Source organism: Homo sapiens, chromosome 1 (genome assembly GCF_000001405.40).
Source record: "Homo sapiens chromosome 1, GRCh38.p14 Primary Assembly".
NCBI classification, from domain to species: Eukaryota; Metazoa; Chordata; class Mammalia; order Primates; family Hominidae; genus Homo; species Homo sapiens.
The window spans coordinates 81,437,789-81,462,183 of record NC_000001.11 but is presented as its reverse complement, the minus strand read 5'-3'; the positions used below and the strand labels follow the sequence as shown (position 1 = coordinate 81,462,183).

General features: G+C 38.0%; 1 protein-coding gene across 8 annotated transcripts in view, besides 2 other annotated features; it reads right to left on the bottom strand.

The window, feature by feature from the left end:
* The window catches only part of ADGRL2 (adhesion G protein-coupled receptor L2), a 687,801-nt gene that overhangs the window by 531,749 nt on the left and 131,657 nt on the right, over positions 1–24,395 (bottom strand). For all 8 annotated transcript variants that reach the window (XM_047416152.1, XM_047416118.1, XM_047416159.1 and 5 more), the window contains one exon: positions 17,095–17,163. The gene's annotated coding sequence lies outside the window, so the exon portion shown is untranslated. The remainder of the gene's footprint in view (positions 1–17,094; positions 17,164–24,395) is intronic.
* Positions 3,493–3,993: an enhancer, noted in NCBI's record as "H3K27ac hESC enhancer chr1:81923876-81924376 (GRCh37/hg19 assembly coordinates)". NCBI's record gives its function as "activates a minimal SCP1, AML or CMV promoter by ChIP-STARR-seq in primed H9 embryonic stem cells {active_cell/tissue: H9 hESC(primed)}" and the evidence as "EXISTENCE:reporter gene assay evidence [ECO:0000049][PMID:30033119]".
* Positions 22,553–22,622: an enhancer, noted in NCBI's record as "active region_1240". NCBI's record gives its function as "activates an Ori minimal core promoter by ATAC-STARR-seq in GM12878 lymphoblastoid cells {active_cell/tissue: GM12878}" and the evidence as "EXISTENCE:reporter gene assay evidence [ECO:0000049][PMID:35858748]".

The following is a 24,395-nucleotide window of genomic DNA, read 5'->3' as shown; positions in this document are numbered from 1 at the left end:
TGGTCCATCTTACAGAGTGTGATTGGTCCATTTTACAGAGTGCTGATTGGTCCATTTTTACAGAATGCTGATTGGTGTGTTTACAATCCTCTAGCTGGACACAGAGCACTGATTGTTGTATTTACAATCCTCTAGCTAGACAGAAAAGTTCTCCAAGTCCCCACCCGACCCAGAAGCCCAGCTGGCTTCACATGTCACTCTCTCCCTCTTTCCCTTCCTTTGTCTCTCTCTTTCTCCACCACCCCCCCCCCCCTTTCTTCTTTTCTTCCTTCTTTGGAAGACTATCAGCCATTCTTTTCTGTTTAGAAGAATTCTTGCCTACTGGCAGGTTTTAAATTTGTTTCATTTCATGCCTTTATTCCTGGACAGTTTTCCCTGCCTTCCCACACCCCACTCTGCTTTTTGGCCTGTTTTACAGAGCTATCTTTATATAGGAGATTTTGAATGATGAATTACTGCTTCAGAGTGATCAGAAAGTATCAACATATTTACAACATTGTATCCTCTTTTTATCTCTCTGAAGTATGTATAGATATTAAAGTACAAAGAGCTTGCATGACATGCCTAAGGGGGGAAAAGTGTTTCGAAAAGATAAAACAAGATCCTTTGCTAGTGAACTACCTACCCCAAGCAACAAGCTCAGTTTGAGATTAAAATGCAATAAATGGACAGTTAACACTATGTAAAAGTTAGAATCATTGAAGGTAACTGGGCATTACTGACACTCTATGATATCTGAGATAGCACTTTCTCAAAAATTGCCTAGTCAATAGGAAAATTAAGCTAAAAAGGACACTCTTCTAAATCCTTGACCAAGGATTACTACAAACATCTGATATGTTCTTGAAAAAGATAATGAAAATAAAACCTCTTAAAAGGCCAAAACCAAAGGAAAAAAAAAAGAAAAGAAAAGAAAAAAAGAAAGCTTTTACTGCTCAGTGGGTAGTATGATTGTTCTGCTTTAAAAACATTTAGTTCTATTTTCTGGGCTTCATTTCTCCTTTAAAAACTTAGAAATATCGCCAAAGGACAGAGAAAACAATGGAAGGTTGTATGGGGAAGAGGAAGAGATGGAAAAGACATCTGGATTATGTTTGATCTGGCAGCTCTTTCCCTTACCCTGTTCAGTGGATGCTGCCCTGGGCAAGCAGAGGGGTCTGCCTGTACTAATATTTGATTTCCAGGTGCAAGTATTCACTCATCTAAATCCTGACCATATGCCGTCATACATCTGCATAAGTACTGCTGTTTCCTTTAAACAAATATAAAATGTACACTTGACAGAGACATGCAAGATAGATGATCCTGAAAGAGGGAAAACTCCAGCAATTTTGCAAGGAAGACAGTCCACTGCAATGTTTCCTATAGTCTGTGTCCTTCCATGCCTTTTGCCTAGTTAGGAACAGTATTCAGAGGCAATTTGGTAGGACCCAGGAGATCGAAATTTCTAGTCTTGTTTCTGACCATTTTATTCTTTGTTAATAAAGTAAAAGGGGTGGCTCTTCAAACTCCAAGGAGCACATCCAGTCAATGGGGAAACAGTAAATATACACAAATTCTGCAAGCCATGCTGCCCGAGATTCTGATACTTTATGTCTGAACTCAGGCCTAGGGAATCAGAAATTTTAAAGAAAGTTTTAAGAGATTATAATATAACCTGTCAAAGACAGGTTTTAGGGATAACCATCCCTTTAAGGTAAAATTATGCAATTTTTTTAACTTTGAAAAATGAATCAATTCATAAGTTTTTCTTAAGTTGGCTGAGGTAAAGCAGCTGTTGTAAATTTTTTCTTTTTTTAAAAATAAAATGAAACAAATATCTACTTTAGTTATGTGGTATGATATATAATAGACACAAAATAATATTCTGGAGATATCAACCCAATCACTTCAAACACTATATATATAGTGTTATATAATTAATATAAATCATTAATATAAAAATTTACATGACAAAAATAAAAATAGGCAAATGGGAGGACATCAAACTAAAAAGCATCTGCATGGGAAAGAAAATAATCAACAGAGTGAAAAAGCAACCTAAGAAATACAAATGGGCAACAGGTATATGAAGATATTCAACATCACTAATCAGCAGGGAAATACAAATCAAAACCACAATGAGATATCACCTTGCACCTCTTAGGCTGCTTATTACAAAAATAACAAAAGACAAAGTGTTGGTGAGGCTCTGGAGAAATTGAAACCCTTGCAAACTGCTGGTAGGAATGCAAAATTGTGCAGCTGCTATAGAAAACAGTACGGAGGGTCTTTAAAACACTCCAAATTAAAAATAGAGCCACCACATGATCCAGCAATCCTGCTACTTAGTGTGTGTATGTGTGTGTGTGTATATATATATATATATATACAAACACATACATATATATATATACACACACACATACACACACTAAGCAGGATATATATATGTGTGTGTATATATGTGTGTGTATGTGTGTGTATATGTGTGTGTGTGTATATATATATACACATGTATGTATGTAAAGGAAATAAAATCAGAATCTTAAAGAGATTATTAAGACTCTCATGTTTGTTGCCACATTATTTACAATAACCAAGGTGTGGAAACAATCTGAATGCCCATAGGCAGATGAATGGATAAAGAAAATGTGGTATGCACATACAATGAAATATTATTGCACCTTAAATAAATAAAGAAGGAAACTCTGCAATATGTGACATGGATGAACCTTGAGAACATTATGTTATGTGAAATAAGCCAATTACAGAAGGACAAATACTTCATGATCCTACTTGATTCTACTTGAGGTATAGTAAAACTCACAGATGCAGGGTAGAATGGTGGTTGGCAGGGTTTGGAGGAAGGAGGAATTGGAGAGTTGTAATAGCAACAGGAGACAGACAGATTCCTAGGCAGACAGGGATGGGTCCCTGGTGAAACCTGACCTTCAAGCCAATGACAGTTCAAAGCCTGAAGACTGAGCTGCCAGTTCTGGATAGAGTCCACAACCAGAGTGAGAACTTCCTTGTTGCCTTTAAACCAATTGAGTGGTGCTTTTTCCAAGACCACCCATAGACCAATCAGCACACACTCCCATATTCTGAGCCCTTAAAAACCCTGGACTCAGCCACACAGATGGCTATCTGCTTTTGGGTCCCCTCTCACACAGAGGGTTACCCACTCTCAGATCCCCTCTCCACTGAGAGCTTTCCTTCTGTCACTCGATAAAATTATTCTCTGCCCCACTCACTCTCCAGTGTCCGTATACCTTATTCCTTCTGGTGGCGGGACAAGAATCCGGAACTTGCTGAGCTGTGGGCAGTGGGAACGAATGAACTGTAACACGTCCCTGTTCACTGAGCTGCAGTCAGGAGGAATGAGAGAGAGCTGTAACATTTCCTGGGGGCTCAGACCTCAGGACTCCCCGAGCAAAAGCTGTAACACTCCTTGGGACTCCTGGTTTCTGGCATCTCCTAGTTTTCAGGCGCCACCACATCCACCTCATCTAAACACTGGTGCCCAACATGGAAGCCACTTTGTGGCATGCCCTGTTCAGCCATGGGCTGAGGATGGAGCCATGGCAGGCACGGGATCTGGGCCAGTAGTGCAAGCTGAGTGTAGCCTGCTGGGCTGAAGCGGATGGTGTGAGTCCAGAGGACTGAGTGAGGCCCTGGGCAGAGGTCATGTGGCTGCAGAGATTTCCCACTGGGAAAGTGGCACCATAGGAACCCTGTAACACTAACCCTTCCTCTGGCTGCAGCAGAAAAGAACGTGCCGGGCGCCATTCCCTCTCACTCACCAAACTTCAAAAGCCACAACAGTTGCTCATCAACATATAGAGTTTCAGTGATGCAAGATGAATAAATTCTAAAGCTATGCCACACAACATTATGCCTATAGGTAACAACATGTTATTGTACACTTGAAAATCTGTTAAGAGGGTAGATCTCATGGTAAGTATTCTTACCACAATAAACAAAACATCACAAACAATATTTACCAACCATTGGCAAATTGCTATTTTTCAGGTCTATTTGCCAAACAGAACAGTCTATGTGGTATAACTACTGAGTTTGTCAATTTGGGCAACATTGCTTAATTTCCCTGATTCTCAATTTTAGCATCTGTAAAACAAAAATGATAATATTTTTCATATTGAGCCTTTGTGAGAATTCAATACAAGTGAAAGCATCATAGTAGCTGAAAACATGGCAGTTAATATCTGATTGGAAGTTAGGATGCCAATTTTGTCCACTGGTCATTCAATTCAAAATCTGAGGTTATGTAAATTCCATAGTGGCAAATTGAAGCACACATGTAATTTGCTCTCCAGAATGACATCAATAATGATTCTAAAGCTCCTGCTATGGCTCCTATTATGAAATGATGTGAGGCCTCCATTTGGAGAGTGTAAAAGGTATGGAGATGACCAGAAGAAGAAATCCTGAAAATATCATAACTTTCATATTTCACTTCTGGATCATTTTATATACAAATCCAAAATTTAAAAAAAATTCATTTGGCTGGAAATCTTGTCAATTCCCACTTTTGTAGTTTTAACAACTATTAAAGAGGAATTTAACAAAAAGTAAAAGAAAAAAAGTTTTTTTGCTAGTGACATTTTACTATATTTCAATTCTTTGGTTATTAGTCAATAATCAAATACTGTTTAATAGTATTGCTTTAATAAGCAAAAACTTAATTCTCTGAGAATGGTAAAGAATAGATAACACTACTAAAAAAGAAAAGAAAAATTTTCAGAAACAATAAGCTGATTAGTATCGAGTGTCTAAATTTTCCCAGCATTCAAAAAATAAATTAATAAATAAATTAATTTTCCTAGTTCATTAAGAGTGGAGGTCCACATTTTCTTTTTGTAGTATATTGAAGTTTTTAAAAATAGGAAACAGAAAATGTTCATGTACCATATTAACTTACTACTGAGCAAAGGTTTCTGTGGTCAAGAGACCTTTTTGTTATATTGTAGGGGAAAGAAAGGGAAAGGTTTAGGAAAAAAAGAAATTTGTCAGCACTTGGAAAACTATCTTCACTGAATTAGGCAGAATTTTTGTTTCCTTTCATATTTTACATCTTTCTTGTAAAGGATGGAAAATGAATTTAGCACCATATTGGGGGATGCCTTCAGGTATTATGTAAATATCTTAAGGATAAATAAAATTTGAATTAAACTTACAACTCTGTGCATTGGGCTTCAGTTCAGGTAACAACATGACAAGGAAGAGAAGAAGAGAGGAAGGGAGAAGAATCATGAAAATAAAGTAGAAGCTTAGGAAGGAATGAAGTTAGAAAAGAAAAAGAGAGGAAGAGAGCAAAGAGGAGGAAAACAGAAGACAAAAGGAGGAGCAGACAGGTGGGATAACAAGTTCTTATATAAACTGCAGCAAAATCAAGAACTATTTTGTGGGAGGGCAGTTCAAAAGGCAGTTACACAATGATGGTCAAACCACCTGTAATAAAACTGCCTGAAAATGTTTTCCTCTCATAGGCTGAAAACTGTAGCTTGTTTAGGAAAGGAGGATGTGATGAAAGTATAAATGAAAATTTCACAAGCAGATGGGGATTTATGGGGCCAAATACATGACTAAGTTCTATGATACACATAATTATACAACATAAATAATGACTTGAATAAAAAGTGGGATCAGGAGTGACGGCTTATGCCTGTAACCCTAGCACTTTGGGAGGCCAAGGCAGGAGGACAGCTTGAGGCCAGGGCTTTGATACTAGCCTGGGCAACAAAGCGAGACCCTGTCTCTACAAAAAATAATAATAATAATAAAAATTAAAAAAATTAGCTGGATATGGTGGCACACACTTATAGTCCCAGCTACTCAGAAGGCTGAGATGGAGCATCACTTGAGCCCAGGAGGTTGGGGCTACAATGAGCTATGATAATGTCACTGCACTCCAGCCTGAGCAACAGAGACCCCATCTCTTAAAAAAAGAGAAAGGAAGAAAGAAAAACAAGTGTATAATACAAGCATTTGCCATTTCCTTAAATATCATATCCTAAGTAAACTGAGACCCACACTTGTGTTGTTATGTAACACTTTGAAGACAATCTCAGCAATAAATTGTAAGAGTGCATTGATACTTAAAATTAATTACTAAGACCCTTCCAAATGTATTAGGCTTTTATGAGGTTATTAAACTTATTTTAAAAATAAGTTTTTAAAATCAGAAAGTTTGAAACTTACAACTATAATTTCTGGTGATTTAAGAATTCATCCAATATCTGGTGATCAAGGATTCACTCAAGATTCAAGAATCTAAATATCAAAAATTCACCACATCGTTTATAATATTTCACTATGACCTCATCCTTGATTCATCCTTTCCTATTTCCAGTCTTTCTAAAATCACCACTCTAACTCCAATGTCTTTCACGTTTCAAATTCCTCTGAGCGCTTGATGCTGTATCTACAATAATGCTGAACAGCATATATGTGTAGTTCTTTGTTTCGAATCCTGCTAAGAAACAGAACATATACAAATTTTCTTGTATGACTTCCCCTTTTTCCACCTTTCAAAAATGACTTCTTCAACTCCTACAGGGAGAAAATAAAAAACAAATAAGCAGAACACATGGCTTCTTCCTTTATGGTCTTCTAATATGTAACACACCTCTGTGCTGAAAAACACTAGGTGTTTTTCAATGGAGCACAGATAACAAGCTCAGTACCGGGATTTCTGTGCATTGGTACGTTTTATTCTTATGAGAAGGAAAATTTTCACGGTTGACATTTTTTTAGGGAGGCAGTGATCTGCCAAGTGCCACACAGCACAATGTTGGAGGTGGAATAGAATTCAGGTCTGGCCAGTTCCAAAGCCTACATCCTTGTGCATCCTGCCTCCTCTTTATCTTTCTAAGACGTCCTAGTTTCCTTTCCACGTTCTGCCCACAGGCTTCTGAGAATAAGGTACTCTAGGGAAGGTACCAGGTTATACCAATTTGTGCTTTGATACACTGACTGACAGAGTAAGTTCACAAAATAACCCGGGAAAGAATAAAACGAGTCAAAGTTTCAACTTTATGATCAAGTTCCTCTTGAGCATTACAGAAAGTACTTGCTTCTCTCTTGGTTAGGTTTCTAGTTGCCTAAACCATGTCTGTATGCTCTGAGAATGAGGAGCAAGAGGGAAGCAAGTTAGAGGATGAGAAACCTGGTCATCTAACGGATCTTTGGGCTTGCTGGCCTTACACCTATGGTCTTGAATTTGTCGTTTTGTCATTTCCACAAACAGGATGTTCACTCTGACTTTCTGCAAAGGAATCTCACCTATTGATCAAACCACAGAACGGCACAGGCTTTAAAATTATGGGAACTTATCTTTGACGGCCTGTTCTAAAACGTTTAAGCAAATCTGGCTTGGTGGAGCCAGAGGCCATAGAAAAGAAAAGGAAGGAGCATTCCAGTTATGGAGGCCCGGATGATGAAAGGATCGCTCTTGATATCTAAATGTTATGTGACATTTTCAAGTTCGTAGTCGATTGACTGCCATGTTCTTGCATTGCTCCCACCAGGTGTTTTTCAACGAAGTGCTAAATTTTTCCTGGCTGATTCCAAGAGGAAACCTTCAGGTAGGTTTAATGCAGAAGATTAAGACTGCATTAAGGCTAAGTCTGAAATGTTCTGCTACCAATTAGCCCTCTAGTATTTCTGTAAGCCTTGAATTTTTGATGCGATCAATGACACCAGTGGAGCCATCTTCTGTGGAGTGGTTATTAAAGATATAAAAATCAATACAAAGATGATACTTGGAAATCTATATCACAAGATAATGAATCACCATGAGAGCAGACTGAGAAGAATGTCAGCAAACCAAACAGAAGGTTTGTGCATAACAAAGTATTTCATGCCAATAGAATTTAAGTTACATTTTGCATGAGACAGAAATCTTCACGCTACATTTGCATGACAAGGTTTTAATAAGATTAAGTCACAAGCCTAATCAGACAAATGCTTCTAGTGCATTAAAAAAGGAAGAAGAAAAAGAAAAAAAAAAAAGAGTGAGGATTGAGATGTTCAAGACTGAGCCAATAATGCCCTGGTTTAACTTTAACTAATGACAAAATAGCATCAAAACTTTCTCTGTCAGTAATCCTCATTCAATTTCTTTTAAACGAAACATTATTTGCCGGCACCTTAAGTCCATAAGTACTGATTGTTATTGGAGCTGTGTATTGGAGCTTCACAGAATAGTCCAAATTTAATTTGAACTGAGGATTGATTTCGTTTCCTTCAAAGGAAGATTTTTTTTCCTTCCAAAACTGAGCTGGTGCATGTCTTTGCAAGCTCATTTTGGTTTTCTCCTTGACACAATTGTAAGTGACATGAGAACATTTATGTGTTTTGTCCTTAAGGGACATCACAACATTGCTAATGATGCCACAAATGACTGGGAGCTGCTTTTTGGCTTTAGAGATATGGATTCCCTAAGACTTTTTATCATTTGCTGCCAGGAAAAGCAAAAATCGGCAAGCCTGCTAAAGTCACCAGTCCACTAAACCATTGTATATTTAATACAGACAGAGTTTTATGCTTGAGATTTCCCAGTTTACAACTATGTAAATAAAGTTTTATAGACAGAGATTAAGAGAGGGTGTGTTTTTGTGTATGTTGGGTGGTGCAAAAGTCATAAATGTTTCTCTTTTCTTCTCTCTCTAGGTACATATGTGAGTCTCCCCACCACTAGAACTCTTAAGTGGCTGCTGTTATGGAAGGTCAGGCTCATAATCACTGCATATTAAGTCCTTAACAGCAATGTCTGGCTCTTCATTAATCTGTAAACTTACTGATTTACCGAGAGATGTCTTTGTTTTTCTCGGCGTTTTTTCATCTACTTCTCACCCTGGTGCCAACGCAATTTCCAGAAAATGAAACAATGATTAGTTTATGCTATTGCATATTAAGTTTGGTTTTCTCTGTATTTACATTGCATGTTTCAAAGGTTGACTTAATCAGCTGTGAGTTGTTATGCAGTTAGTCAGAGTGGAATTCCCACAGATTTTTTCCCCCAATGTATCACATAACAATAAGAGAGCTAGACACACCTTGTGTAGTTTTAACAAGTCTTCGCAGTTTTACTTAATTTGTTTCCCTTCCCTTTTACCCCTGAGGCTCCCAAAGCAAATGAACCATTCAGGAGCATAAAACAAGGGGAATTAGTTTAGACTTCAATAAAACACAGACCTCTTGCTGGCAATATCTGCCTTGATGTAGAATGTCTGCATTTTAAAATATTGCCGTGTCTTGATTGTCCTGACACCTCATGATTGTCCTCTTGAGTTCCCATTGCCTGGGGAACTTCAACACTCTCTTCCCTGTTCAGGTCTCATGCTCCTTCTCAATGGTGCTCATACTTTAGGTTTCATATCTTCATCTGCAAAACCTACTCGACTGATGCATGAATATACTCAGCGGTTTTCCAATAGTTCTAGAATTAGGATTCAACTTGGATAGTCTCTGATATCTCTTTTAGGTGGTGTGAAAAATATATAAGGTGCAGGAAATGCTATTCTCACAGGCAGGAGATTCAAAAGTGGCATTTAAAGAAACATATTTTTGTAGAATGAAAGATTTTTGCCTCTTACTGAAGCTATGAAAGTTTTTAGCCCTTACAAGTCAGTAGTCCTGCTTGCTTGGGGATGGGTTTTCATATGTTGAATGATATTATTTATTCATTTACAAATAGCTAATGATGACAAGCCATGGGCTGGATGCTGAGGATACACTTTGTATCAGGGGCATTGAGATAAAGGTGTTCAGTAAAATCGTGTAAGGCTGTTTCTCCCATGAGAGTCACATTTTAATTGCTTTTGTGGGGAAAAATTGGTGTCTTTAAAAGTTTGATTAGTAAACAAATCCAGACCAGATAAATGTCTAAACCTGGGCGGAATAATCAAACATTATTTTTAATAGGTGGAAGAAATGAGATGCATAGTAATTATTTAAGAGTAAAGTCTTTCCCAATGAGCTAAATGATAAAAACTTGCATCCTGTAATTGGACAGATAAGTCACAAGGAGAAAGTTAGGTTTTCACACAATGTATGTTCACAGGATAAAAAAACGACAGTCTTGTTAAAATAAGCTGGGGTGGAGGTGGGGAGGCAAGGGCTAGATGCCTTGAAAGGGAAAGTTGAACAAGAAAACAATCTTCCATACACTAATGTGAACCCATGGAGAGAAGAGAGAACGCACAGAAGTTGTACACTACATTATATGGATACAAAATAGTTTTTTAGATTTATAATTTAATTTAGAAATCTGAAAGACAGGTGTATTATTTTATAATGCCGTGTCTTTATAATGTAATATTCATATATTTTTCTAACTTTTATGAGATAAAATAGAGTGGTTTTAATTAACAAAAAATTAACGCATGATGGAAGCAAAGAGAAGAATTATTCAAGAGTTGTGTATAAGACTGCATAGGATTTATATTTGTAAACAAGCCCAGAAATATGAATGCTTCTAGGCTTCTATGAGTCAATGCTTGACCGGGACTCTTAATGGCAAAATCTCCTACTGATTACTTGGCTCTTATAAATCTAAGGAACTGAGTGAAACCAAATATTAGATGGTCCAATTTTAGAGAAAAGAAAGCAGGATAAAAATGTATTAAGGCAGGGAGAGTTTAAGTTAAAACACAACCACATGTGGTGAAAATAGAAAAGGGCTAGAAAGAAATACAAAAAAATGTTAGCAATGCTCTTCTCTGGTATAAACAATGGCTTTCATTTGCTTCTTCATATGTTTTGATATTTACAAATTTTCTACAATAGCATTTCTACTATAACCAGACAAAAAGAGATCAATGAAAAATGCAATCTAACTGTTGAAATTACTGCTATATACAAAATGAATACATTTCACCATTGGTAATGACTTTGACTCTAGAGGAAAGAGGATTTCCATAGAAGGACGGTAGTATTTTATATCTAATTAATTGGGAAGGCTTTGAGCAAAATCAGAACTTCAGATCCTAGAAGCTGAGTACAATAAAGATTTGAGAAACAAGAAAAAAGGTATGATCAATGGAAGATCTTCCAGACAGTGAGGGCTATCTGTTAGCGAGTGTGTAAGAACATGAAGTATGTGAAAACAAGGTGAGACTTATATGAAAATGAATAATAAATGAGAAGAGATTAGGAAGTAAACTGGCCTTAAATTTGAAAGTAAAGAGCCATGAACAAGATTCTGTATTTTGAATGTCAAAATTAAGAAGCTCCATTGAGAAATAAGTTTATGGAATGAACAAAATCAACCTAACTTACAGTCAGATTGATTTTTACTTTGGGGGGACTCTAAGTCATTAGCATGGGGTCTGTTTTATTAACACTATAGCTTTCCCTTTACTTTCCAGAAAAAGCACATATAATGCTTTTGCTTTTCATAATTCACTTGCTTGCTCAAATATTCATTGATTTTTCTGAATCTGTAGCCCATCTGCTTGCAAAACATTCACTGACTTCATGGGACTAAATAATAAGTATTGGTTGATGTTAATGTACATACATGCAATAAAACTGTCAACTCAGTCATCTTCCTGGTACCTGAGCATATAACAAAAGCATCACTAGACAGTGAGGCAGCACTGTGAGAAAGGTAGTGTACATAATGGAAAGAGCACAGCCTTCGGTCTCAGAGAGATGTGGGTTCAAATCCTGGCTCTGCCACTTGCTTCTTGTTAATTTCATCAAAGTAAATTTCTCTGTCTATTTCTTTATCTTTAGACTGGGGCCAATACTTTCTTCTAATATGAACTTTGTGAGAATTGAATGAGATATAATAAATTAAAGCATATAACAGGATGGCAGGTACACAATAAACTCTCAGTACCTAATGGTATTATGATTATTGTCATTGGCATACTCGTGGGTTTTCAACACAATGAAACTCAACGTTTCAAGACCAATGTCAAATTTTGGTTTTCCTTCTGAGTCAAATTTTGGATTATTAATAAGAGAATGATCTCATTTCTTCCTCAGATGGCAAATGGTTTATTCTTAGAGCCAGGTATGGACTCATCTATACTCTCCACCCTCTCTCTGTTAAAGTCACTGGCACCAGCTTTCTCAACTGGTTCACTTTGAGCATGGTTAGAAACCAAAAGAAAGCAACTTGATGGATTAACAGGGAGAGCTAGGGAAACTGACTCATCGGTGGTGGAATGCTCGTGCTTGATAAGCCTCAGAGACTCTGGTTTTCTATTCAGAGAAATGGGGTTACTCATTGAGCTTTGCACACAAGACCAACATTTGGGTCTTAAAAGCCATAACTGAGCCAAGCACAGTGTCTCATGCCTGTAATCCCAACACCTTGGGAGGCTGAAATGGGAGGATGGCTTGAGCCCAGGAGTTTGAGACCAGCCTGGGCAACATGGTGAAACCTTGTCTCTACACAAAATACAAAAATGGTGGTACATGCCTGTAGTCCCAGCTACTCGGGAGGCTAAGGTGGAAGGATCATATGACCCTGGAAGGTCAAGGCTGCAGTGACCTGTGATTGCACCACCGCACTCCAGCCTGGGTGACAGAGTGAGACCCTGTCTCAATAATAAATAAATAAAGTAAAACAAATAAAGGCCATAATTCAACTGTTGTAATTGTAGTTCTCTCTGAAGTGAATGAATTTTTTCCACTCATACTGGAATTCTCACTGTTGCTATATAAGAAGAAAGCTTCAGACTCTGGCTACACCGGGGATTTTGGTGGGATGCCTATTGGCACTTTCACTGAATGTGCAAGAGTGAAAGACTTCTTAGGATTCACCTGCCTTCATAATGAATTACCCGACCCCTTCAATTATCCCTGTGTCTTACTTTTAGTGATCAAACAGCCTATTACACAGACCCTGGATAATATAATTCCATAGTATCACTGGTTATTTAGCCCCCAAAAGCACTATGTATCCAAAGTATTACACAGACCCTGGATAATATAAATCCATAGTATCACTGGTTATTTAGCCCCCAAAAGCACTATGTATCCAAAGTATTACACAGACCCTGGATAATATAAATCCATAGTATCACTGGTTATTTAGCCCCCAAAAGCACTATGTATCCAAAGTATTCATTATTCAAACCACATCTTTGATGCCACTTATTCCATCAGAATTCCTATAAAATTCATAATTTATTATACTGAAATGAACATATATGTATACTTTTTCTGGTACTAATATCTATTTTTGTATATGTTAATTTTACTTCTATAAATAAACTGTAAAGTATAGGGGTCACACTTTATCTTCTTTTTATATTTCTTTGTTGTGGAAAAGTTTTGGGTGTAATATAGACCATCCCCCTAGTAAAATTAGTTAAATGGTAAGAAAAATAGTCTCCAAATATCTAGTGGGTAAGACTAAAAGTTAAACTTAGCTTAGCCTTTTTTTGTGATTTAAAAATTTTTGTGGAATATGAGGAGGGTCCAATTTAAAATAACCCTTTCATTGTTTTTTTGTTTGTCTGTTTTTGTTTTTTTAATAGAGACAGAGTTTTTCCATGTTGCCCAGGCATGTCTCTAACTCCTGTCTCTAACTCCTGGGGTCAAGTGATCCTCCTGCTTTGATAGCCCAAAGTGCTAGGTTATAGGGGTAGGCCACCACACCTGGCCATGATTCTTGAAATGATGAGATCAGGGGGTGTAGAGGCTGTATTATTTCATTCTCACATTGCTATAAAGAAATATCTGAGACAGGGTAATTTATAAAGAAAAGAGGTTTGGCCAGGTGTGGTGGCTCATGCCTGTAATCACAGCACTTTGGGAGGCCGAGGTAGGTGGATCACCTGAGGTCAGGAGTTCAAGATCAGCCTGGCCAAAATGGTGAAACCCCGTCTCTACTAAAAATACAAAAATTAGTTGGGTGTGGTGGCGTATACCTGTAATCCCAGTTACTCTGGAGGCTGAGACAGGAGAAATCGCTTGAACCTGGGAGGCAGAGATTGCAGTGTGCCGAGATTAAGCCACTGTATGCCAGCCTGGGCCACAGAGCGAGACTCTGTCTCAAAAAAAAAAAAAAAAAAAAAAAAAGAAAGAAAGAAAAAGAAAAAGAAAAGAGGTTTAATTGGCTCATGGTTCCGCAGGCTGTACAGGAAGCATGGCAGGATCTTCTTGGGAGGCCTCAGGAAACTTACAATCATGGCAGAATGTGAAGGGAAAGCAAGCCAACTTACATGGCCGGAGCAGGAGGAAGAGACAGGGGAGGTGCTACAGACTTTTAAACAACCAGATCTCCTGAGAACTGTTATCAGGAGAACAGCACCAAAAAGATGGTGCTAAACCGTTCATGGAGGATCTACCCCCATGATCAGATCACTTCCCACTAGGCCCACTCCAACATTGGGGATTACAATTGAACATGAGATTTGGGTGGGGACACAGATACAAACCATATGAGAGGCATACGCATACATGTAAGGAAAGATAAATAGCAGAATGTGAATTTGTGCATGTTAAAATCTGCTAACCATTTTTGTTGCTTGGAAGTTTTTTTCTAAAAATCAGCCTTTTTCTTTGAGGTCCCTTCATCCATTTCTTCAAGTTGTATATCAAAAATTTTAGAGAGATGCTAATTACTCAAGATGACTCAGAAAGTTCACATGCAGATTTGGGACTAGAGCCCCAAAATGCAATCCCTGCCATGTATTTTTAACAGCGACACTTTCCTGAAATGCTGGTTATAGGTAGTAGACATTACCCATTTTTGCTTCTTACACTATCAGAGCAAATAAAGTTTATTTATATCACAAAGATGCCAGAAAAATCATGCTGAAATATTTTCACATAAAACAATCCTGAATTTCTGAAGTATTACCCTAAAGCACTCTCTTAATATCTAATATTATCCCTTCCACAGTAACTGTTACTTGCCTTGCTGTCAATATATTATACACTTTTAAGATCTACTATGTTTACTGAATTATATCTTTAAGTCAGGAAAAAGAAAAAAATTCACGTAAGTATCATCTGGGAATGGTATCTATTATAATGACTTTTTTCCTTCAATAAATAACCTATTATTAATATATGCGCTTCACAATATCACTTCTACTTTGCCAACGTTTGCCCCTTTAAATGATTTTAATAGTAAAATTTATGTTGACTAATATAAAAATTATAATAGTATGGTTAGTTCTAAAAAGATCAAACTTCTGTTTAGGTCCTATATCTCATTTTAATTAATAGTTTTTTAAGTAGCTCAGCAGATAGCCCATTTAAACTTTAACATGCCATTTTCCACATTTTAGTTATTAAAAGAAAAATATGGCTACAATAAATTATAACATTTGTAATAAATACCTAAATTAAATATAACAAATGATATCTCCACTTATGTCAAAATATCAATTTCACATATTTTCATCTTTAATATTACCTTTGGAAATAGAAGAGTGATATATTACTATGTAAGTGTAAATAGGATAGTAACTGATTACATTTTGAAGATGAGAAAACTAGGTCAGAGAGTAGTTAATGACCAATTTTGAATGGAACCCAGGTGTTCCGGGACTGTGTAAGCCATCCCTGGGTGTTATTTTCTTTTCTCTAATTTGTTACCTTACTCCTGAAAGAAAATTAGGGGATGGTAGAATTGAGAAATATGTTTTTGCTAGTGGAGGAGAGGGAAATCCCATGACTTAACACCATGGTTATGCTTCTTAGAAGAGAAGGATGAACGTGAGTGGCAACATGGACTATTGGCAAATCTTCTGGGCGGATGAAGTCATTGGCCCTATATAGGCTCATTAAGTGCTAATGGTGATCATAATCATCCGTTTGTGATCTGGAAGAACTGTGCCTCCATTCCCCTGAAAGGCTTTTTGTTTTGTAGGTTCCTTTTTATTCTGCTTCCTGAAACTCTATGCCAATTGATGTTTGCATGTTTCTGAAATGGTGACAAGCCTTGTAATTGATTCTCCAACTACGCTGTGCTGTGCGCCGGGCTGGCAGGCACCCCACTTTCAGGTCACTTTACACGTCACACCACCTAGAGCGAGCCAGGAACTCATTCAAAGGGCAATGGGATGCCAATTATTTTCTTTCCTGGCATTTACATGAAAGTATAGGAGAGAGGCTGCTAAAACAGAACTCAGAGTTTGGTTCCCTTAATAATTGCTATAGCCTCCAAGTTTGTGGACTATGGAAGAATTGAGAACCTGAAGCAAGTAAGGTGAGGAGGTTGAAAAATAGAGATTTAGTGAAACAATCCGTAAAGTGAGGACATCAAAAAATAGAGCTTTGTGAAATCAGTAAATTTAGTGCTTACTAGGTGCCAGGCAATATTTTAAGCATTTTACACCTACTAATTTGTTTATGCTATGCCACAACTCTTGAAAGTAGGTATGACAATTTCTCCCATTTTGCAAATAAGAATGTGGAGCCCACAGCCACATAGCTGGTAAATGACAGAATCACACTTTGAATTTAGGTGGGCTCTGAAGGCTAGGCTTTTAATCATTTTGCTATAGGTGGAATTAAAGATCCTATGTAAGTCCGCTTTAATATAGAATTCATAGCTTCTAGGAATGTATAATTACTTAGTAATAACCAGGAAAGCAAATGATGATCATGATTCAGAGAAACAGAAATATGAGGCCGTCCTCTCTAAGTCCCTTCAGCCCACACTTCCTCATCTAACACCACCACAGGATATTTTGTACCTCATCCTACTTCTACAAAGGAATGCATCCGAATAATTTCTGGCTTCATTTGCAAAAATAGCAACTTTAACTGATCTCTATTTGCCTATGTGATTTGTGATGTCCAAGAATACTCCAAGGCAGAAAAATGCCTAAGATCACAAGCATAATTTTGTAAGAAATCTAGATAGGTAGACAGCCAGTCTTAAGCAACATACAACGAATAACCTGACTCATGGAGAGAGGTAACCCATACATGTAGTTTCTTCTTCCCTCATCTCCACCCAGGATCATGATTTTATCTTCTACATTTAATAAAAGATCATCCAATATCAGAACTTAGAAAACCACCAATAGATAAAGCAAATACATTTAGGCAGTGCTTGAATTCATATCATAATTGAAGCTATTGTATCTTATTTTGAAATTAATCATTTACCTTATGAATCTACGTAGGCTCCATACTCTTCAGAACCATTTGTGAAGTTTAGAGTAAGTGGTCTGTAACCTAGAAGGGAGACAAACAAATCCACAGTTCAAATTCAGCATGAAAAGATTATCAATGAAATTGAAAATGCATTAGCATGTGCATTAATTTTTTTATTAGATTCAAATGATGAAGGCATTTACCAATTTGGAGATACAGAGAGAATAGAATTTAGATGAGATGGATATTAGTGCTTGTGTCCCTGTGTTTTAAGTATCAGCTCAGACAAAAAAGCAAAAAGATCTAAAACGATTCCTGGAACTGAACAACGTGACTGAACCCAGAGGGGAGGAGCAGGCTGCCACCCACCTGGGGAGATGGGTTAATAAAAAGATCAATTGCACTCTTATCTTGTTAGTCATTAGACAGCCCATTGATGCCACCTGCTTACTTTAAATGTAAACGTGCAGGCCAACCATTGGAAAGCTGCCACCATTCTTCGGAACCCTGTTTCTTTCTGGTTTAGTGATAGGAGGGAAAAGGCCAAACTTTGACCGTTAGGAACTGAGCATCTGTTCCTCCAGCAAGCACAGATGTGAGGGCAAATCAGAAAGCGAGTCTTTACAGGCAGAATAAATGAATATACCAAAATATGAGTAGTTTATAGAGTTAATATCAACTCAAACTGAAGAAACATTTTACATGTAAAAACATAAAATGGCTCAGGGGATTTACTCTCCTGTTAGGTGATTATATCCCTTAGATCTGAAGTGGCCATATATTAAATATACTTTTTGTTTGCTTTACTGGTCTTTGTGAACCACTGACTCTTTTTCAGTAGTCAATTGCTCTTTCCCAAAGTATAAGGAAAGGTTTACCTGTCTTGCATTAGTATCAGTTGCCAGTGATTAAAAGGTTCAAAGGTAAATGTTACATATTTCCTAAGGCAAAGTAAATGCCTGCCATTGGTAAAAAGGGATTATTATACATTGGCAATAGAATCTTTCCTGCAGCAGCTATTGCCTACTTCTCTCAGCTTCTGCAAACTCTGGCTACAAGTGGGTCTCCGGACCTTTTCTTGTCCTCTGACACTACTTACCGGGGCATCGGATAGATGTCTGATAAGAGTACTTCAGATCATCCCACCTTTGTAGCAGATAAATACTCATTTTTTCTTCTAACAAAATAAGTATATTAATTTATCTCATTTATTTTTGTGGTATAAATATTCATTATTTATTGATTATTACTAGTCAAGCAATATTTGCCTAACAAGGAGTATCTTTCTATCTGCTTTGAGCATTTCTATTCTAATAAAAAATATTTTGCAAGCAATAAAATACTAACTTAAGGTAGGAATGGTGAGATGCAGCAGTTACAATTTCTCAAAGCAGTGAGATGGTGAAGCCAACTTGTGGCATGTTGACTAATTACTACGCTCCTGCTCATTTTACTTTCCAAAATTCAAAATATTGTATATAGGTTCTGAATGCTTAAAATGTATTCCTAACTAAGTAGTGTGTAGGTGGCTGGATTTCTATCAAGTGGGTCTCAAACCAGCAATAGAAAATCAGACACTGTCTCTGACTTAAAATAGGAATAAGGTTAATCAAGATATGACTACCTATGAGAAATATCACTCAGTGAACTTTTTTTTTTTTTTTGAGATGGAGTTTCACTCTTGTCACTCAGGCTGGATTGTAATGGTGTGATCTTGGCTCACCTCTGCCTCCTGGGTTGCAACCTCTGCCTCCTGGGTTCAAGTGATTCTCCTGCCTCAGCCTCCTAATTAGCTGGGATTATAGGTGCCTGCCATCATGACTTGCTAATTTTTTGTATTTTTAGTAGAGATGGGGTTTCATCATGTTGGCCAGGCTGATCTCGAACTCTTGACTTCAGGTGATCCACCCACATTGGCCTCCCAAAGTGCTGGGATTACAGATGTGAGCCACCATGCCTGACCACCATCCAGTAAACTTTTAAACAGCAGAATTCCCAGATGGGCTAATCATTTATACATTTTAGAGTATAGATTAGTTATTAGTTGTTTCTTGAATTTAAAGATTTTGTAAAGAATATGCATTTCTTACACTTGGTTACATGTTTAAATTACTATTGTGAGAGCAACAGAGTAGGTTTTTGGAGACCAATAATTTTTAGTTTGTCAGCGTACTGTAAGTTTGACATGAATTGAAACAGGGTGAAAAACTACCTTGTGAATGCAAGGGATAGCCTTTGCTATCCAGCAGATTTGTGAGTGAGGCTGTGAAACCTGGCCTTAAAATGGTAGATGGGAAATGGACCTATTTTCTTCTACAATGGGACCTTCCTGTGCTACTCTCCTGAGGGCTCATGGATAGGTCCTTGTTCTTGGCAAATCAGCATCAAAATGACAGTCCTTGGATGCAGTCCAAAGCAAATCTGACTGATACTGAATTTTGCTCCCGAGTACCATGTTTTACTGTGAGGGTCCAACATAACTGTAAAGGTTCTATGACAGGTAACAAAGGAAAATTTCCTACATAGACTTATTTAGTCTTCACACCGCTCTTGGTTAATTAAGTACATTTACAGATAGGGATAAAATCTTAGGCTATGGTTGAAAATGCTCAAAAAATAAAGTAGCCCTTCAGTTGTTTTCTTGCCAATTTCTTTATTTCATGATTAGGTAATAGATGTAATTTTAATGTTTCAAGTAAATGGTGAACATTTTATTGTGTAATTTGGTGAAAGAGGGATATTTTCATTTGTAATAAAAAAGCTCATCTTTGTAGGAAGAATTAACATTGGCTATCTAACTGTGTCCGTTTTAAGGAAACAAAGGTAATTGAGTAATGGTTGATTTTTGAAGTTGTGGTAATAGCTTTCCAACTGACAGCCAGACTTCTTTTTTAAAAGGACTTTATATTTGAAAATGAAGCATTCAAGGAATTTTCAATATTTTCTAGAGAGCTTAGATACATAATGTAAGTTTCAATGAATCCCATATTGAATAATTCCAGCACTTTGGGAAGTTGAGGAGGGAGGATTGCTTGAGCCCAGGAGTCAGAGACTAGCCTGGGGAACATAGTGAGACTCTGCCTCTATAAAAATTGTAAAAATTAACCAGGCATGGTAGTGTGCATCTGTAGTCTCAGCTACTGGAGGCTGAGGTGAGAAGATCACTTGAGGCCAGGAGGTCCTGCAGTGAGCTATGATCGCACCACCACACGCCAGCCTGGGCAGCACAGTGAGACCCTGTCTCAAAAAAAATGGAATATTCTAGGTTGGGAGTGGTGGCTTACACCTATAATCCCAGCACTTTGGGAAGCCAAGGCGGGCGGATCATGAGGTCAGGAGTTTGAGACCAGCCTGGCCAACATAGTGAAACCCCGTCTCTACTAAAAATACAAGAAAATTAGCTGGGCATGGTGGCACATGCCTGTAATCCCAGCAACTCGGGAGGCTGAGGGCTGAGGCAGGAGAATCACTTGAACCTGAACCTGGGAGGCAGAGGTTGCAGTGAGCCAAGATTGCAACATTGCACTCCAGCCTGGGTGACAATGTGAGACTCCGTCTCAAAAACAAACAAAAAAACCCAAAAACAAACAAACAAACAAAAATTGAATATTCAGTTTGGGCTAGAGGTTTCATAGAAGTAAGTTTGTACTCTTAATTGAGGCCTTGTATTCTGGGATGGGGATATTAGACATTAGGTAATTGATTAGGAACACTGATGATGTTTGAACAGGGAGTAAATTAACCAGAAATCCAATTTAGGTAGATGAAGTGTATGCACTATAGATCAAAACAAGGGCTGAAAATGGATTTATTCAATAATTAACCTAACAAATAATTTTATCAATATTTAAAATTTAACAGTACTATTTTCAGTAGCAATATGCCATATTAATAATATGCCATGTTCATACTATACTAATATTTAATAATAGTACTAAATTTACTAGTAACTAGTACTAAGTAGTACTATTAGGTGCTGAGGCTACAGAGGTGAACTAGTGGGTAAAAGTCTCTGATGTCATGGAGGGAAGACACAAATAAAACATCACACAAAACAGGGATTGAGAGAGGGAGAGAGAGAAACATGTGTTATGAATGTCTAACTCTAGAAGAATGCTTCTTGTTATGTTTAAGCTTAGTCTAAAGCTGTGAGGAAGATAGTAGGCTGTTGTTACAGTCCAGACAAGAAAGAGATTAATGAGAACCTAGGCTAGGCAGTAGCAGTGGGAATTAGAAGGAAGAAAAAGATGCAAGAGGTATTTCAGAGACAATCAATAGGAATTGGCAATTGCTGAGACGTGCAGTAAGGGAAAAGGAAGAGACATAGATAAATTAGAAACTTGGAGCCTCACAGAAGAAATTGGGTTGCTATTAACAGAAATACGGATGTCAAAAGAAAGAACTAGTTTGATGGGGTAATGAATTTAGGTGTGGTGCATTGTGTTTGATGTGTCAAGAAGTCTCTTGGAGATGGCAGTAAGTAGCTGGAACTGTAGGATTATAAATTAGTGGAGAAACTAGAACTAGAAATTTTGGCATCCTTCCAATGGATGGGGTAGTTAAAATCTGCGGGATTGTCTAAATTTACCAAAGGTAAGGAAGCCTGAGAGTCTCCATATGGGTGGGAATTCTGAGAAATGGCATAATTAGGAGAAAGCGCAACCAGAGTTAAGGTGAGTAGGAATAATGTCCAACCTTTAAGTACTGATTCCTACACAATCATCCTTCACAGAGCACTTCACAGCGGCTAATTTATGTAATTTTCACAACGTGAAGTAGTGATAGCTACAGGAAGCAGCCAAATGCTTAGGCAGCTAGGGGTGGGTACCCGGTGAAACCCCACCTTCAAGCTGAAGACAGTTTAAAGCCTGAAAGCCAAGCTACAAGTTAAATCATCAGACTGTGTTAAGAACTTGTCTTCCTGTTTGGTGTGCTTTCCTCTGATTGATCCTCACCCTTCACCTATTTTACATATACCTACCCTTTCCTAATTGGTTTTCTACATTGTCGTACGCACCTTTGAGTGGTGTCTTTGCTTTAGCCTTTTTTGCATACTGGCAAACCCAATCAGCATGCACTCCCCACCCTGTGCCTTTAAAGACCACAGACTCAGTTGGTAGAGGAGGAGACAGCCTGACTTTGGGGAACAGACAGCCTTTTAGAGCCATTTTCATTTCTCAACAAAATTCTCTGCCTTCCCCATCCTTCAACTGTTTATGTGACCTCATTCTTCTTGGACACTGGACAATAGCTCGGGACCCACTGAGTGCAGGTAGCAAGAAAGGCTGTCACACCAGCCCTTTGCCATCAGTGGCGGAGGGCAGCCACCTCACACAATGGGGCAAGGGACCAACTGAGCTGCTAACACACCACCGTCTGTGAATGGCACAACTAAAGGAGCACTGTAAAACCTCCTCTGGGGCTTCGGAGTTGTGGGCACCCTCACATGGGTGCTGCTGCATTCCCCTCAAGGCGACACACCTGGCCTGGCCATGGGCCCCGCACAGAGTTTGCATCTGTGTCGACACCCAGAGTGGCCAGACAGATCCTGCACTCACTTGCTCACGTGCTCCCTCCTGCAAGGGATTGACCCTGGCATGCCTAATAGAGGGAGTAACCCTGCCGCGAGTCCAGTGAAGGGGCTGAGAAAATCCTGCATCAGTAGGTTTCGTTATTAACTCTACTTCCTAAATTAGGAATAAGAGAGACAGAAAGGTTGCTAAGGTCACACAGCTCAGAAGTGGTGGAGTCAGGATTCAAACCTACAGTGCTCTGCCTCAGAGTTCGCATACTTACCAACCATGCTGTAATACCTCTTGGGTAGAATGAGTGACTTTGAAAATGAGAGTTTGCTCTTAATAAGATAGAAACCCTACAGATGAAAGTTAGTGGTTAGGCTTGCAAAGCGGTTGTCCATGGGCACAGAGTTAAATTTGGCAGTGATAACAACACATGAGAAACATGGATGAAAGAGGGGGTTTTGATATTAAGCAAACAACTATGTGCAATATAATTTTTTTACACTTTGACAAGTACAAAAGGTTCTCTGGGAGTTTTACGGCAGGTAAAGGGAGTTTCTATCGCAAAGTCTACCTTGAGAAAGTGACATTTAAACAGAGACCTAAATAATGGGTAGAAGTTAGCAGGACAAAGAGGAAAAAGAAGAGCACTCCAGATTTGAGGGCCCTTAGGCAGCTGGAACTTGGGGGATTCAAGGAGTTTAAAGAAATCTGGGGCAATGATAAGGGAAAAAACACCCTAAGGATTTTGGACTTCATCCTGAGTAATAGAAATATATTGAAGTGTATTAAGCAGGAAAATGACAAATTAAGCCTCAGAGAGTTTAAACTGCCCAAGTTCATACAGCTACTAATTGAGCCAAAAGGAAACCCAGGTCATCCCTGCTGCAAACTCCTTTCTTCACAAAACCATGTTACCGTCCAGGGCTGGGCTGCAAAATGTTTACCGATCAGCTCTCTGGGAAAAAAAGCACTGACTTGTAGCATTTTCTGATATGGTGGTTTAAATACTATATTTAGTATTATTTACTGATATTCACCATATTGGGTGCTAATATGAAGTCACAGAATGCAGACTCGGGAAGAGATAGTCTATATTGTACCATTATGTGGTATTTCAAACATGTTGATATAATAGATAAAAACACCCTCAGCAACACGGAAAATAATACAATGTGCTAGAATAATTAGGAAGTGATGAATGTGTGTATTTATTACCTTTGTTTTAAGTTTAATTATTTAATTCTAAATTTATGCAATTTATTTATTAATAATGGTTCTCTGGGGGAACAAACAGCTTGCCAAATTCCTGAAAAGTTAATAATGGGATCTCCTGAGCAGGTATAAGCTGGAGCCAGAACTCCATTGTTACCATCTCAAAGAGCCATTTTTGGTGGGTACATTTTTATTATACTGTTTTGTTTTGGGAGATGGTTCCAGGAATCTTACATCAAAGCTCACTCATGTCTTTCTACACATTTCAATGTGTTGATCACGGGGCATATTCGGTGAGAAGGAATGGATACAGCTTTTTTTTTTTTTTCCCCAAACAGGCTGAAAATAAAGAGAGAGGGTAACTCCTGGGAGGCAACGCTATGCAATGGCCTCTGTGGGGACATAGGTGACTAATAGTAGGCATTTGTGGCTGACTCCTCACCTTTGCTTTCAGACAGTCACGACTGCAAGTTTCTGATTTCAAATACAAGTTTATAACTCGAATCAAAGCTAAATTTATATTCTCTGTACACATTATCATTCAGTTCTATTATTGTCATGCAACCTCCTCTTTAGGAA